Source organism: Homo sapiens, chromosome 4, assembly GCF_000001405.40.
Source record: "Homo sapiens chromosome 4, GRCh38.p14 Primary Assembly".
Lineage (NCBI taxonomy): Eukaryota > Metazoa > Chordata > Mammalia > Primates > Hominidae > Homo > Homo sapiens.
In genome coordinates this window covers 76,108,133-76,122,354 of record NC_000004.12, presented here as the reverse complement: position 1 = coordinate 76,122,354, position 14,222 = coordinate 76,108,133, and the positions used below count along the sequence as shown (strand labels likewise).

Here is a 14,222-nt window from a genome sequence, read left to right as displayed (position 1 = left end):
CGACTGTATGTATTTGCCAGATTCATAGAACTGAACACCTAAAACAGGTGAATTGTCATATGTAGAGTATACCTCAAATCGGACCAAAAAACCACATTCTAAATGAAGTATAAGCAAAGAGAATCCAGCTATTTATCAATTTCTTAAAAAATATACTATGACCAAGTAAAGTTTATTTCAGGAATGCAAGGTTGGTTTTAATAACAGGACATCTATCAACATGACTTATTATAGCAACACATTAAAGGAAAATATATAATAGAAACTGTAACCAAAAATGAATAGCAAATACTCCAAAAGGCAAAACACTAAAATCGCATTTAGAAACTAGACAACGGACACCCAATATTATCATCATTATTTGTTGCTATCTTGGAGGTTTTCATAAATAAAACAAGCAAAGAAATAATATAAACATTGGGAAGATGATTAAGTGATCTATTTTTGCTGATATGATTGTATATCTGGAAAACCCAAGGGAATAAACCATAGAATTAATGTAGTAAGCTGGCTAGATATAAAAGTACAAAAATCAACTTTCCTTTTTACTATCTGGAAATAGGAAAATGTTCCATTCACTATGGTGACAAAACTGTAAAATAGGAATATATTTCTGAGGAAAGTATAGGTATTTACAAATAGATAAACTATATTCTTAGATGAGAATACTTAATACCCACTTTACAAAATTAAAAATGAATTACAGCTTTTTAAAAATAGATTAAGCTGGGTGTGATGACATGGCACCTATAGTCACAGCTACTCAGAAGGCTGAGGCAGGAGAAGCACCTGAGCCCAGGAGTTTGAGGCTCTAGTGAGCTATGATTGTGCCTATGAATAGCCACTGCACTCTGTTGCCTGGGCAACATAGGGAGACCCTGTCTCTAAAAAAATTTTGATTAAAATTTCTTTAAGTTTATAAAGAAGGATAAGTGTTTGAGACTAGCTTGTTCAGGAACAAAAAAGAAATAGTGAAGGGGACTTCTTTACCAGATTTCAGAACCTATTTTAAACCTCTTATAATTGAATCAATATAGTGTCTGCATGGGATTGGACAGAACAATGCATGGAACAGAGTAGGGAATTTACAAATAGATGCAAGTGTGCTGAAAATTTAATATATGAGAAAGGTGGTATTTCAATTCAGTGGGTTTATTTAATAAATAATGCTGGAGTATAACTATCCATAAGGAAGAAAAGAAAATTAGACCATTGCATTGTATAAAAATAAAGTGGACTAAAGACTTTAAGAAACTTTCAAAGCTGTATGTACAGCCTGGGATTTGAGAGACATTGATCAAAAAGCTAGAAACTATAAACCAACATTGGCCACATAAAAAATTGTGTAGCAAAAGATACCAGAAGCCATTTGTCAATAGTCATGTGATAGAGTTTAGGAAAAGGAAATTTTGCAAACAGCATTCATTTTAGATTTAGTGTTCATATTCATATTATACAAAGAGATCCTATAATTTGACAGTAAAACCCAATTGAAATTTGGGCAAAAGATGTGTAAAGGCAGTTCATAGAAAAAGCAAATGCAAAATAGTTCTTAGTCATTAAAAGATGGTCCCTTTAATTTACTAGGAATCTGGGAATTGCAGATTAAAGAAAAAAAATGAGATCCTGGCCGGGCGCAGTGGCTCACGCCTGTAATCCCAGCACTCTGGGAGGCCGAGGCGGGTGGATCACGAGGTCAGGAGTTCAAGACCAGCCTGGCGAAGATGGTGAAACCCCGACTCTACTAAAAATACAAAAATTAGCTGGGCATGGTGGCAGGTGCCTGTAATCCCAGCTACTTGGGAGGCTGAGGCAGAGAATTGCTTGAACCTGGGAGGTGGAGGTTGCCGTGAGCCAAGATCACGGCACTGCACTCCAGCTTGGGTGACAGAGTGCAACTCCATCTGGGGAAAAAAAAAAAAAAAAAAAAAAAGAGATCCCTTTACACTCATGCGGTTGGGAAAAATTTAAACCACCACCACCTGTTCTTGACAGGAATGTGGGGAAAGGGTATTCTGATGTGTGGCCTATGAATCTAAATCATTAGGATATTTTGAAAAAGCAATCTAGCAGCTTTAGAACTGAAAACGTACATACTTTAAAACTCAGCCTCATTGTTAAAGATCTATACCAGTTAAATAGATATATGCACCAAAATGTTTATTATAGCATTGTAGTGTCAAAGCTACAAAATTTATTACAGCATTGTTTATAGAGTCAAAGCTACAAAAATGTTTATTATGGCATTGTAGTGTGAAAACAAAATGTATATCCATCAAGACAATAATTATTGATTATTGGTTAATAACATTTAAAAAGCATACAGCCATTAAAAATAACAAATTAGAGCTATACTTCTTAAGGCATTTCATGAGATTTTGATAATAAAATTATTTTAATTATAAAATTTAATGGTTAATATTGATAATAAAATTTTGTTAATTTTATATAATCCATTTTTAAAAACTTAGATGAGTAAAAAGCAGTCGGTCTATGTGTGTGTTTATGAAAAAGATATGGTTATAGGAGCATGGATGAGAGTATGGAAGGATTTGCACTGTTTTTAACAGAGTAAGCTGGGCTTGGAGAGTAGCAGCAAACCAAGAGTCTGCCTTTAGAGGCCACTGCTTTAGACCCTTTCCCCCGATGCATTGTTAAATTGGAAAGAAAGAGAAGCAGCCTGGCACAGTGGCCCACGCCTGTAATCCCAGCACTTTAAGAGGCCGAGGCAGAAGGATCATTTGAGTTTAGGAGTTTGAGACCAGCCTGGGCAACATCGGGAGACCTCATCTCTACTAAAAAAAAAAAAAAAGAAAAAAAATTAGCCAGGCATGGTGGTGAGCACCTGTAATTCCAGCTACTTGGGAGGCTGAGGTGGGAGGATTGCTTGAGCCTAGGAGATCGATGCTGCATTGAGCTGCCCTCCAGCCTGGGCAAGAAAGCAAGGTCGTCTCAGAAAAACAAAAACAACAACCAAAAAAAGGAACCATGTCACAGAGTGATATATACAGTTTAGTTTTATTTTGGATCTGTGTGTGTGTGCTCTCTCTGTATGATGAGCAAGGAGAAAGGTACAGGGGAATAAACATCAGTTAGCACTATTTGTCTTGGGGGTATGAGAGAAAATTTGTCTTTTACATTCTCGTATTGTTTCTTAACAAGTACATTTTGCTTTTGTAATCTCAAAAAAAATCCAAGAAATAATTTTTAGACCTAAATATTATAAACTCATCTTTAAAGAACACTTTATTTGGAAAGGCTGTGAGTAAATGTCTGAAACTGGTATTATGTTGTCTATTTTTTTGTACTGCTTTTAAGCCATACCATAGTTTTTGTTTGTCTGTTTTTTGAGACAGAGTCTCGCTCTGTTGCCCAGGCTGGAGTGCAGTGGCGCGATCTAGGCTCACTGCAAGCTCTGCCTCCCGGGTTTTCCGCCATTCTCCTGCCTCAGCCTCCCGAGTAGCTGGGACTACAGGCGTGCACCATCAACGTCCGGCTAATTTTTTGTATTTTTAGTAGAGACGGGGTTTCATCATGTTAGCCAGGATGGTCTCAATCTCCTGACCTCTTGATCCACCCGCCTTGTCCTCCCAAAGTGCTGGGATTACAGGTGTGAGCCACCGCGCCCGGCCAAGCCATACCATAGTTTTAAAATTGTTGGCTTGGCAAAGTGGCTCACACCTGTAAACCCAGCACTCTGGGAGGCCAAGGCTAGAGGATCACTTAATTAAGCCCAGGAGTTCAAGACCAGCCTGGGCCACATAGTGAGACCCCCCCCCCCACCCCGCCACAAAAAAATTAAAAAATGTAACCAGGTGCGGTGGTGCACACCTGTGGTCCCAGCTACTCAGGAGCTGAGGCAGGAGGATCACTTGAGCCACAGAGGTCAAGGAGTGAGCTGTGTTTACGCCACTGCACTTCAGCCTGGGAGACAGAGCAAGACCCTGTCTCAAAAAAAACAATTAAGTCTATATCATTGTATTTATATGATAACTTTTGCCTAGTTAAAATGGACAGAAACATAATTCAAATCCTGAACTGTTGAACCCTACTGTTGTTTGATTTTCAGCTGATTTCTTTCAGTAACTAATTGTACTACTACTACTTGCATAACTAAAAAGAGATGATTCTGTTGTTATTGGTGGTTTTTATTTGTATAGGTCCTAATCAAACAGGAAATTCAAAGGAAGAGTGGTTATGCCATTCAGGCTGATGAAGAGCAGTTGCGAGTTCAGCTGGATACGATTCAGGGTGAACTAAATGCACCTACTCAGTTCAAGGTAACCACTTCTAAGACCATAATTCTAAAATTTGTTTCAGGTGGATCTGCAGACAAAAAGTTATGTAATCTTCAAGCAGGAATTTTGTATACTTGTGTTTCTTATCTCCAATTAGAACTTCCTTTCTAAAGTAAACTCAGTCATGGTTCTTTTGGCTAGTATTAGTGTTTCGAATATAATGTACAGAGAGAGAAATAGAAATTTTTAATAGATGGTTTTGAAACCATCCTTTCAGAAGAAAACATTGTCTTTTACAAGTCTTCGTCGGCAGTTGTAATTTGACTCAGTCTTAACTTTTAGGGCCGACTAAATGAATTGATGTCTCAAATCAGGATGCAGAATCATTTTGGAGCAGTCAGATCTGAAGAAAGGTATTACATAGATGCAGATCTGTTACGAGAAATCAAGCAGGTAAGTGTTGCATGAGGCTGCATTATTTAAAGTGTGAGCTCACCACTTCACACCTATTAGGATGGCTATTATCCTAATAAGAAAAGTGTTAGTGAGAATGTGGAGAAATTGGAACTTTCTTGCACTGTTGGGGGAATGTAAAATGGTTCAGCCTCTATGGAAAACAGTGTAGTGTTTACTCAAAAAATTAAAGATAGAATTACGATATGATCTAGCAGGTCTACTTCTGGATATATACCCAAGTACGTTGGAAGCAGGGACTCAAAACATATTTGTACACCCATGTTCATAGCATCTTTATTCACAATAGTCAAAATGTGGAGATAACCCAAGAATCAATCAAAGAATAGAGAAACAAAATGTAGTATATAGACACACAATGGAATATTATTCAGCCTTGAAAAAAGAATGAAATTCTGACACATGCTACAATGCAATTTGACCTTGAAGAAGTTATGCTTCATGAAATAAGCCACTCATAAAAGGGAAATATTTATGATTTCACTTATGAAAAGTACCTAGTAGTCCAATTAATAGAGAGTAGAAAGGTGGTTGCCAGGGTGTGAGGGGAGGAGGGGATGGGAGGAACTTAACTGGTACAGAATTTCAACTTGAGAAGATGAAAAGTTCTAAACAAAGTGGATAGTGTTGATTATTGCACAACAGCATAAATGTACCTAATGCCACTGAACTGTATACTTAAAAATAGTTACAGGCAAAATTTTATGGTATGCCTGTTTTGCCACTGTTTAAAAAAGTGAATTATCCCTCTCCTCGCCAAAAAGATGAATTTAGAGGTAGTAGAGACACTAAAGTTTCCTAGACCTTGCTCCTTAAAGTGTAGGTAGTAGCCGCACCTGGAAGGTCATTAGAAATGCAAAATTTCAGTCCTTACTCCAGACGTACTCAATCTGCATTTTATCAAGATCATAGAATGATTTGTATGCACTTTAAAGTTTGAGAAGCAACTGCTCTAGATAATACCTTCCCTGCCTATATGTCGCATGTAAGTTATAAACATTTGGTTATTGATCTGTCCCCTAAGCTCTCAGGAGATCTGGATGGAGGTAGGTTGAGGTGGCCAGAACCTCCAACCACTTTTCTAGGGTTTTCACATTGTGTGAAAAAGTTGGGAAACACTGCTTTGGCTTATTTTCATTAGTATAAATGCAGATTGGTTTAATGAAAATGAACAGTTGTATCTAAAGAAAATATATGAAGATGATGAACTTTGTGGAACATACTAGGTAGCTAATGACTGTTGGCATGGCCCTGAGGATTTTAGATAAAGATTATAAATGTCATCAACAAATCCAATTTTATTATGTTAGAATGGATATGGCTGGTTTTATGCAACCAAAAACTACTTTGGCTTCCAGGTTCTTGGATATTACACACATAACCAATTATATTCCATTGTTTTAAGTATTTGCAATAAATTAACAGGTTCCAGTATATTGAAATAAATAGTTGTATTAAATAGAGTTGATATATGCAATAAAACTGGGAATAATTTAAACACCTGTCTTTTTTAAAATTATGAGCAGTGTATTGTTTTGGGATTGAATCATGGTTCACCATCTACTTTATGACCTTGGGCAGGTTATTTACCTGTAGTTTCTTTAACTGTCGAGATGATAATGGTACCCCAAAGGGGGCTCAAAAGGATTTTAAATGAGTTAAGTGAGTGAATACCAGTACTGTTAAAACAGCACCTTAACCCATGAGGAGGAGTCTTAAAAAAATGTTAGCATCTGTAGTCATCACCACCATTATCACTATGTACTTTGTACTTCAAAACATGAATATTCTCAGTTTTCAGAATGTTATTTTGCTAGTCATCTATATTTGAATACCTCCTTTGAGTTCTGTTTTATTATCATGCCTTTATCAAAAGTTGGTAAAAGGAATAGCTATCTAAAAAACATTTTTGTTGGAAGATATTGTTCATTATATATTTGTTTGATTTTATTGTTCTTTAGAGTTTGTCTTTCACTGTTAGCAAAAGATGTAGTACAAATGTTTAAATATGCATGCCCTCTATATTTAGAGCACTTACTAGGTACTGTGTTGCTAGTAAAATAGTCAAAGTGGAGTCTTTTTTCCTGTGACTAGCTTGCAGTTTTAAGAAATTAATACATTAATATGTTGTTTCTTAATTTGTTCTAGCATTTGAAACAACAACAGGAAGGCCTTAGCCATTTGATTAGCATCATTAAAGACGATCTAGAAGATATAAAGCTGGTCGAACATGGATTGAATGAAACCATCCACATCAGAGGTGGTGTCTTTAGTTGACAGTTCACAAACTTGTGTAAAGGTTTGTGAAATGCATCTTCTTACTGCATCAGACCTTCCTTAAGAATGAAACCGACCACATGGAGGGAAAAAGAAAACAATTCTTTCTTGGATTGGTTTTTTGAGAAGTTTACTGACAAATTACTGTTCATCAAATCTGAAATAGTCACCTCACAGCTCTTCAAAGAAAACCTTTGAAAGATTTATATCTAAAAGCTGTATTTACTTTAAAAGAAGTGCATAATTACCAAAATTGTATGTACTATTGTACATTTTTACAACAGCATTTTCTTAAACATAATCTGTGTTTAATGATTATTGTCCATTGAGCCTGTACTCTGCTTTCCATACCAAGTAAATATGAAATAATCTACTTTGCACATAACAGAACAAACTATAATTACTTGGCTGTTGGAGATTTGTACTTGAGTATAAATGTACACCAGTTTTTGTATTTGTGAACTCATCTGTGGGAGGAGTAAAGAAAATCCAAAAGCATTTAATGTTTTGTTTTTGTTCTATAAAGATATGAAAATGTATTTTTATATTATTTTACTTATTTGGAATTTACAGAGCACACCTAAGCAATTAGGATATAACAAAACTACTTAACCATTTTTGCAACCATTTTGTTTTTTAAGCCTTTTTATTTCTAAAAAGATGAAAACTTATAAATAAATTCTTAATTTGTAATTACTTTTATATAATTCTGTCTGGTGCTTTATTTGGCTTTTGAGGAATGACCATTTTTTGTCCACATAGGTACTAAATTCATAATCACAAGTCAGGAATTTTAGTCTTAAGTCTTATTTTTGCCTCCTAGGGATTTTTGTCAGTGCTGTTATATTTTGATTAGGGTATGGCAAGTAAAACTTACTTCAGATATCATCTAGTATTAAGAATTCCCTAATATGTCATTAGTATTCGAAATACTAGAAAATCTGAGTTAAACAGATTAAGTAGTGTTAAATAGTGGGTCTTTAACCAGTGGATCATTTTAAACAGTATTTCTGACTACACTATATTTGGGCTGCATCATGTTGGCCGCTTTTGAGATGCTTTAACTTTGCACTTCTCTGTGATGCTTTGGCTTGTATTGACAGGTGTTAGAAGAAACAGGCCCATGAATCTTGCTATTGTATTTACTATGGGGATGGTGAAGAGTGTGATGCACTGTATATCTATCTGGAGTCCATCCTCTGAGAATCCACTGAAGAGATTTCTCCTCAGTTGTATAGGTTACAGTTGTGTAGACTAGGATTTTTTGTGGGTTTTTTTTTTTTTTTTTTTTTTTGAGACAAGTCTCTCTGTCACCCAGGCTGGGGTACAGTGGCACAATCACGACTCACTGCAGCCTTGACCTCCTGGGTTTAAGCAGTCCTCCCACCTCAGACTCTTGAGTAGCTGGGACTACAGGCATGCACCACCACAACTGGCTATTATTTTTTATTTTGTGTAGAGATGGGGTCTTGTTATGTTGCCCAGGCTGGTCTTGAACTCCTAGACTCCAGCAATCCTCCTACCTTGGCCTGCCAAAGTGCTAGGATTACAGGCCTGAACCTCCATGCCTGGCCAAGACTAGGAACTTTAAAACTGATTGTTTCTTTCCAAATTGACTGCCAGAAGTATGCAGCTACTTTTGCCAAGTTTATGGTGTGTAAATTTGTTACACTACTCTACTACCCTCTCATCATTCTTTCCTACCCATTATATTGCAATACCAACAGTGTTGGGACAGGAATTTCTTGCCTTGTCCACATTTTCTCCGTGGCCCAGAAGATCTGCATGTCCATCATTCTTACCCATGTAGCCAAGTATAGGAGTTTTTGTCCCTCTGCACACCCCCTTATAGTAGGAAGAGTTGTTGGTCTAATTGATGAGAATTGTTACTCACTGAGCTATATAATCTAGTGGATGGATCACTCATCATGCATACCATGGTCGCTTCTCTAGCCTTTGATTTTTCATGTTCTAATATTGCTGGTTGCTAGTTCAACCAGATAAATATACCAGACAGGGCCTAAGGTCAGCCTTTTAAAAAGGCAGGCCCAGTCATCCTGTTGGGTTTCTGTCCCACTGGTGACTGCATATATAAGGCAGGCCTGTGGTCCTTGAGCATATAACTGGTGAGATAACTAGACTCAGTTATCGAAGCAAGTGTTATAGACTGAGTAGTTTGTGTTCTCAAAAAATTCATCTTGAAATCCTAACACTCAATATGGTGATTTTAGGAGGTATGGCTTTTGGGAGGTCATGATGAGGGTGGAGCCTTCATGAATGGGATTAGTGCTCTATCTCTCTTGTCCCTTCTGCCATGTGAGATGGTGAGGAAAGGACAAGGAAGAGGACACTCACCAGAAACTAAGTCTGCTGGCACCTTGATCTTGGACTTCCCAGCCTCTGGAACTGTGAGAAATAAATAAATGTTGCTTACAAGTTACCTAGTCTACAGTGGTCTGTTACAGCAACCCAAACAGACTAAGACAAAGAGATGAGTAGACTATCCTTAAAGTTCTAATTCAGATATTAAATTGATGTTAAACACTAACAGTATTGAGCATACTGGCAATTCTGAAATATCTAATCAAAATCTTTTATTGAATTTAATCAGAAGTATACAGTTTTCGGGATTTTTTTCCATTGTAAGAGTAGTATACAAGTGAAAAGTTCTGTGACATATATCTGGACCAACTTTCTGAATTTGCAAAATGAATAACAAATATACAATTCTCATTTTATCCAGTGACTTTGGCCAACACGTAAAAAATACATCATTCCTTTTGATCTCCTGTGGATCCCTATAGTTATTTCAAGTAAAGAATAAGAAAGATAAACAATGCATCAAACTACAGAGCAACAAAGAGATTTATAGCAGAAACACTGATTAAAATGATGACCATCCCAAACTGTGGAAGCAGCAGTTTGCCCGAGGATGCAGAAGGATGGCTTTTGGGACCTGGAACAGGAACTGGACCTGGAGCTGTTAACAAGAATACACAGTCACTGACACATCATTTTTTATGTCAAGTATCATCCACCTATAAAATATATCCTGAATATGTAAACAATGACACTAAAGTTGAAGTAGAAACTTACCTGAAATACTTCCAGCCAAAAGCAATTTTCAAATAAGTGTAATTCATTACAGATTTCAGGCTATATTTCCATATACAGTTGACCCTTAATACGGGTGTTGGGGTGCCAACCCCCACACAATGAAAACCTACATGTAACCTGATTCCCAAAAACTTAACTACTAATAGCCTACCATTAACTGGAAGCCTTACTGATAATAGAAATTGTTGATTAACATATTTTATATGTTATATGTATTATATACTGTATTCTGGTTGGGGCATGGTGGCTCACACCTGTAATTCCAGCATTTTAGGAGGCCAAGGCAGGAGGACCACTTGAGACCAGGAGTTTGAGCCTGGGCAACATAGCGAGACCCCATCTCTATTTTTAAAAAGATAAAAATAATTGATTAGCACATATTTTGTAAATGTATTATATACTGTATTTTGGCTGGGCGTGGTGGCTCACGCCTGTAATCCCAGCACTGTGGGAGGCGGAGGCAGGCACATCATGAGGTCAGGAGATCGAGACCATCCTGGCTAACACGGCAAAACCCCGTCTCTACTAAATATACAGAATTAGCCGGGCGTGGTGGCGGGCGCCTGTAGTCCCCGCTACTCAGGAGGCTGAGGCAGGAGAATGGTGTGAACCTGGGAGGCAGAGCTTGCAGTGAGCAGAGATTGCACCACTGCACTCCATCCTGGGTGATAGAGCAAGACTCCAGCTCAAATAAATAAATAAATAAACTGTATTTTTACAATAAAATAGAGAAAAAATATTAAAATCATAAGGAAGAGAAAACACATTTACAGTACTGTACTGTATTTACTAATACCCAAAGTTTACATCATCTGTTTATAAGATGAATTATCTGTCTGAAATGGCTGGCAACTGCAGCTGCAGACCTGAATCTATATATCAAGCAATTCAACTTTTTCTTGTAATGTCATGGCTTCTCTCTGCTTGTGAGACTTCCGGCCTCACTAGTGGCACTTCCTTTGAGTCCTATGGTGTTATTCAAGGTTTTTGGTATTGCACCAAACATGACAAAAAATACAGGAGAACTGTGAGAGATCACTTTTTGCTGTGATGTGCAATTTACTGGAGATGAACTCCTCAGAGATGTTTAGCAACACATGGTGTTTTAAGAGGATACTCGAAACATTTGAACTCACTGCAATAGCAACAGGAGGTGGCCATGAAATGATTACAATGATACAGTATGTATTATAGTTAATTTTATGCAGTTAAGTTTTAATACCGCATCTTTACATTTACGTTTCTTTTGATTTTGAATGGTGCCACATATGGTCTGTGTGCACAAATTTGGATAAATACTAACGTTTTACAATAGATTTGTGTATGTTTTATGGTAGTAAATGATAAAAATAGACTAGCATCTACATATATTTTATGCATTCATGACATACTTTCTTTTTATATATATATATATTTCTAGGTCATGCAGTTTGTCTGCAAGTTTCTTCAAATTGATGCAAATATCCAAAAAGATTTCCAATATATTTATTTAAAAAAAATCCATGTATAAGTGGACCCATGCAGTTCAAACCTGTGTTGTTCAAGGGTCGACTATATATCATCAAGATCTGCTACGCTAGGTTTTATGTAGGATTTCACATGCTTTTACATTTCTATATAGCCAATATAATGATTTTCTGTTGTTCAAGTTCTCTAGCATTTTTTTTTAGCAATTTTTCTATTTCCATTTTCTGTATATACATGCAAGGTAAAGTTTAACTCTGTGTGTCTTCTATTTCAAACAAGATAACCACCAACATACAACTGGATATACAGTCATCCCTCAGTATCCTTTGGGGACTGGTTCTAGAACCCCTGAGGATACCAAAATCCACAGATGCTCAAGTCCCTTATATAAAATAGCATACATAAATAAATAAAATAGCATACACAGTATTTGCATATACCTACACACATCCTCCTGTATACCTTATACTATCTCTAGATTTCTTATAATACCTAATACAATGTAAATGAAATGCAAGTAGTTGTTGTACTGTATGGGTTTTTAAATTTGTATTATTTTTTCCCACAAATATTTTCGATCCACAGTTGGTTGAATCCCAGAGGATACAGAGGGCTAACTATAGCTGCATTGTTTTTTAAACACTAATCTCTGCAAGATGATAAAAAAAAAATAAATGTTTTTCCCTCCATACATACACTGCTGGAGAAACTCTTTCCCTTTCATTTGAACTAGTGGAGAGGAGCAGTGGAGTCCATCCACAGGATAAACTGTTTCATGCTGACCTAAACTCTTTTTGTTTGAACTACGGGGAAGCGTTGACTGGAAGTATCCAAATGGGATCACCACTCAGATTTCATAAATAAAACCAAGAAAAATAGCCAGTCAGATTTGTAAAAGCCTTCATATTATCAATGTACTTGCCATAGTTATAAACATGCAGTTGGATGTATACACACAGAGAAGTGGATAGGCAGATGCACACATGCATTAGTACAGTCGTGCAATGCATAATGATGTTTCCATCAATGACAGACCACATGTATGACAGAGATCCCATAAGACTATAATTATAATAGAGCTGAAAATTTCCTACTGCCTAGCAACATCGTTGCCGTTGTAACATATTACGTGTTTGGGGTGATGATGGTGTAAATAAACCTACTGCACTGCCAGTTGTATAACTGTATAGCACATACAATTATATATAATACATAACATTTGATAATAAACAACTATGTTACTGTTTTATGTACTTACTATACTTTTAATCATTATTTTAGACTGTACTCCTTCAACTTATTAAAAAACGTTAACTATAAAACAGCCTGAGGCAGGTCCTTCAGGAGCTACTCCAGAAGGCATTATCATAGGAGGTGACAGTTCCATGCACGTTACTACCCCTGAAGACCTTCCAGTGGAACAAGATGTGGAGGTGCAAGACAGTGATATTGATGATCCTGACCCTGTATAGGCCTAGGCTAATGTAAATGTTTGTGTCTTAGTTGTTAACAAAAGTTTAAAAAGTTAAAAAAAAAGGTGATAAAAAAGCTTTATAGAATAGGATATAAAGAAAAAATATTTTTGTACTACTGTACAATGTGTGTTTTAAGCTAAGTGTTATTACAAAAGAGTCAGATTAAAATTAAGTTTATAAAGTAAAACAGTTACATTAAGCTACGGTTAATTTACTATTGAAGAAGGAAAATTTGTTATGAATTTAGTGTAGCCTCTGTATAGTATGTATAAAGTCTACAGGAGTGTACAGTAGTGTCCCAGGCCTTCACATCCGCTCAACACCACCCAGAGCAACTTCTGGGCCTACAAGCTCCATTCATGTTAAGTGCCCTATACACCTGTACCATTTTTTATCTTTTATATTTTTACCATAACTTTTCTATGTTTAGATACACAAATACTTACCACTGTGTTACCGCTGCCTACAGTACTCAACACAATAACATGCTGTAAAGGTTTATAGCCTAGGAGCAGTAGGCTATACCATGTAGCCTACATGTGTAGCAGGGTATACCATCTAGGGTTGGGTAAGTACACACTATGATGTTTGCACAACGACAAAATCACTTAACACATTAATCAGAACATACCCCATCTTGTTAAGCAATGCATGACTGTATGTTACCACAGACCAGTGGTTCTCAGGGGGGCATTACTGCCCCAAGAGGCAGTTTGGACGATTGTCAAGAGTTTTTTGTTTTTTTTTTTAATCATTGCTAACAGTGGAGTGGAGGTAGAGGGATAGATATCCTGCAGTGCTCTAGTTCTGGACCATGAAAAATTGACCAACTTCCTGCACAACTTTAAAATGTACTGCTAGACATACATGTAAGTTAAAACCTATTTAAAATAATCAAACTCAGAACCTAAAGCAGTTTTATGTATATTTTTAATAGTTTTGATAAACATTAAACATCAGTTTTTATTTAGTATCTACTCTATTTCTTCACTCCATTTTCTTATACTTCCTGTATAGAATAGCTTCCAATCTTCTCTTCAACCCAAATTTATTTGCATAAATGTAAACATCGGTCTACTTTAGACATGATGTTGATTTTTATGGGTACAAATGCATCTCATCTATGGATCTTCTTTCTGGATAATATAAGGACTTTATAAAATACTTGTTATAA

General features: G+C 36.4%; 2 protein-coding genes across 48 annotated transcripts in view; one reads left to right on the top strand and one right to left on the bottom strand.

Annotated features, from left to right (window-relative positions):
* The window catches only part of NUP54 (nucleoporin 54), a 33,734-nt gene extending 26,043 nt beyond the window's left edge, over positions 1 to 7,691 (top strand). For all 9 annotated transcript variants that reach the window (NR_103781.2, NR_103780.2, NR_103782.2 and 6 more), the window contains 3 exons: positions 4,161 to 4,280; positions 4,581 to 4,691; positions 6,861 to 7,691. Coding sequence is in view for 6 of the 9 variants with exons in the window: in XM_047415783.1 (XP_047271739.1) it covers positions 4,161 to 4,280; positions 4,581 to 4,691; positions 6,861 to 6,989 (360 nt within the window). In the remaining 3 variants the exon portion in view is untranslated. The remainder of the gene's footprint in view (positions 1 to 4,160; positions 4,281 to 4,580; positions 4,692 to 6,860) is intronic.
* A 1,877-nt stretch (positions 7,692 to 9,568) lies between these two features.
* ART3 (ADP-ribosyltransferase 3 (inactive)) overlaps positions 9,569 to 14,222 on the bottom strand; it is a 101,597-nt gene continuing 96,943 nt past the window's right edge. For 38 of the 39 annotated variants that reach the window (XM_047415697.1, XM_047415700.1, XM_047415695.1 and 35 more), the window contains one exon: positions 9,569 to 9,969. In XM_047415697.1, coding sequence (XP_047271653.1) covers positions 9,836 to 9,969 — 134 coding nt within the window. In that variant the 3' untranslated portion in view covers positions 9,569 to 9,835. Of the gene's footprint in view, positions 9,970 to 10,360; positions 10,449 to 14,222 lie in introns of all 39 variants that reach the window. The other variant, NM_001437636.1, reaches the window with a different exon arrangement.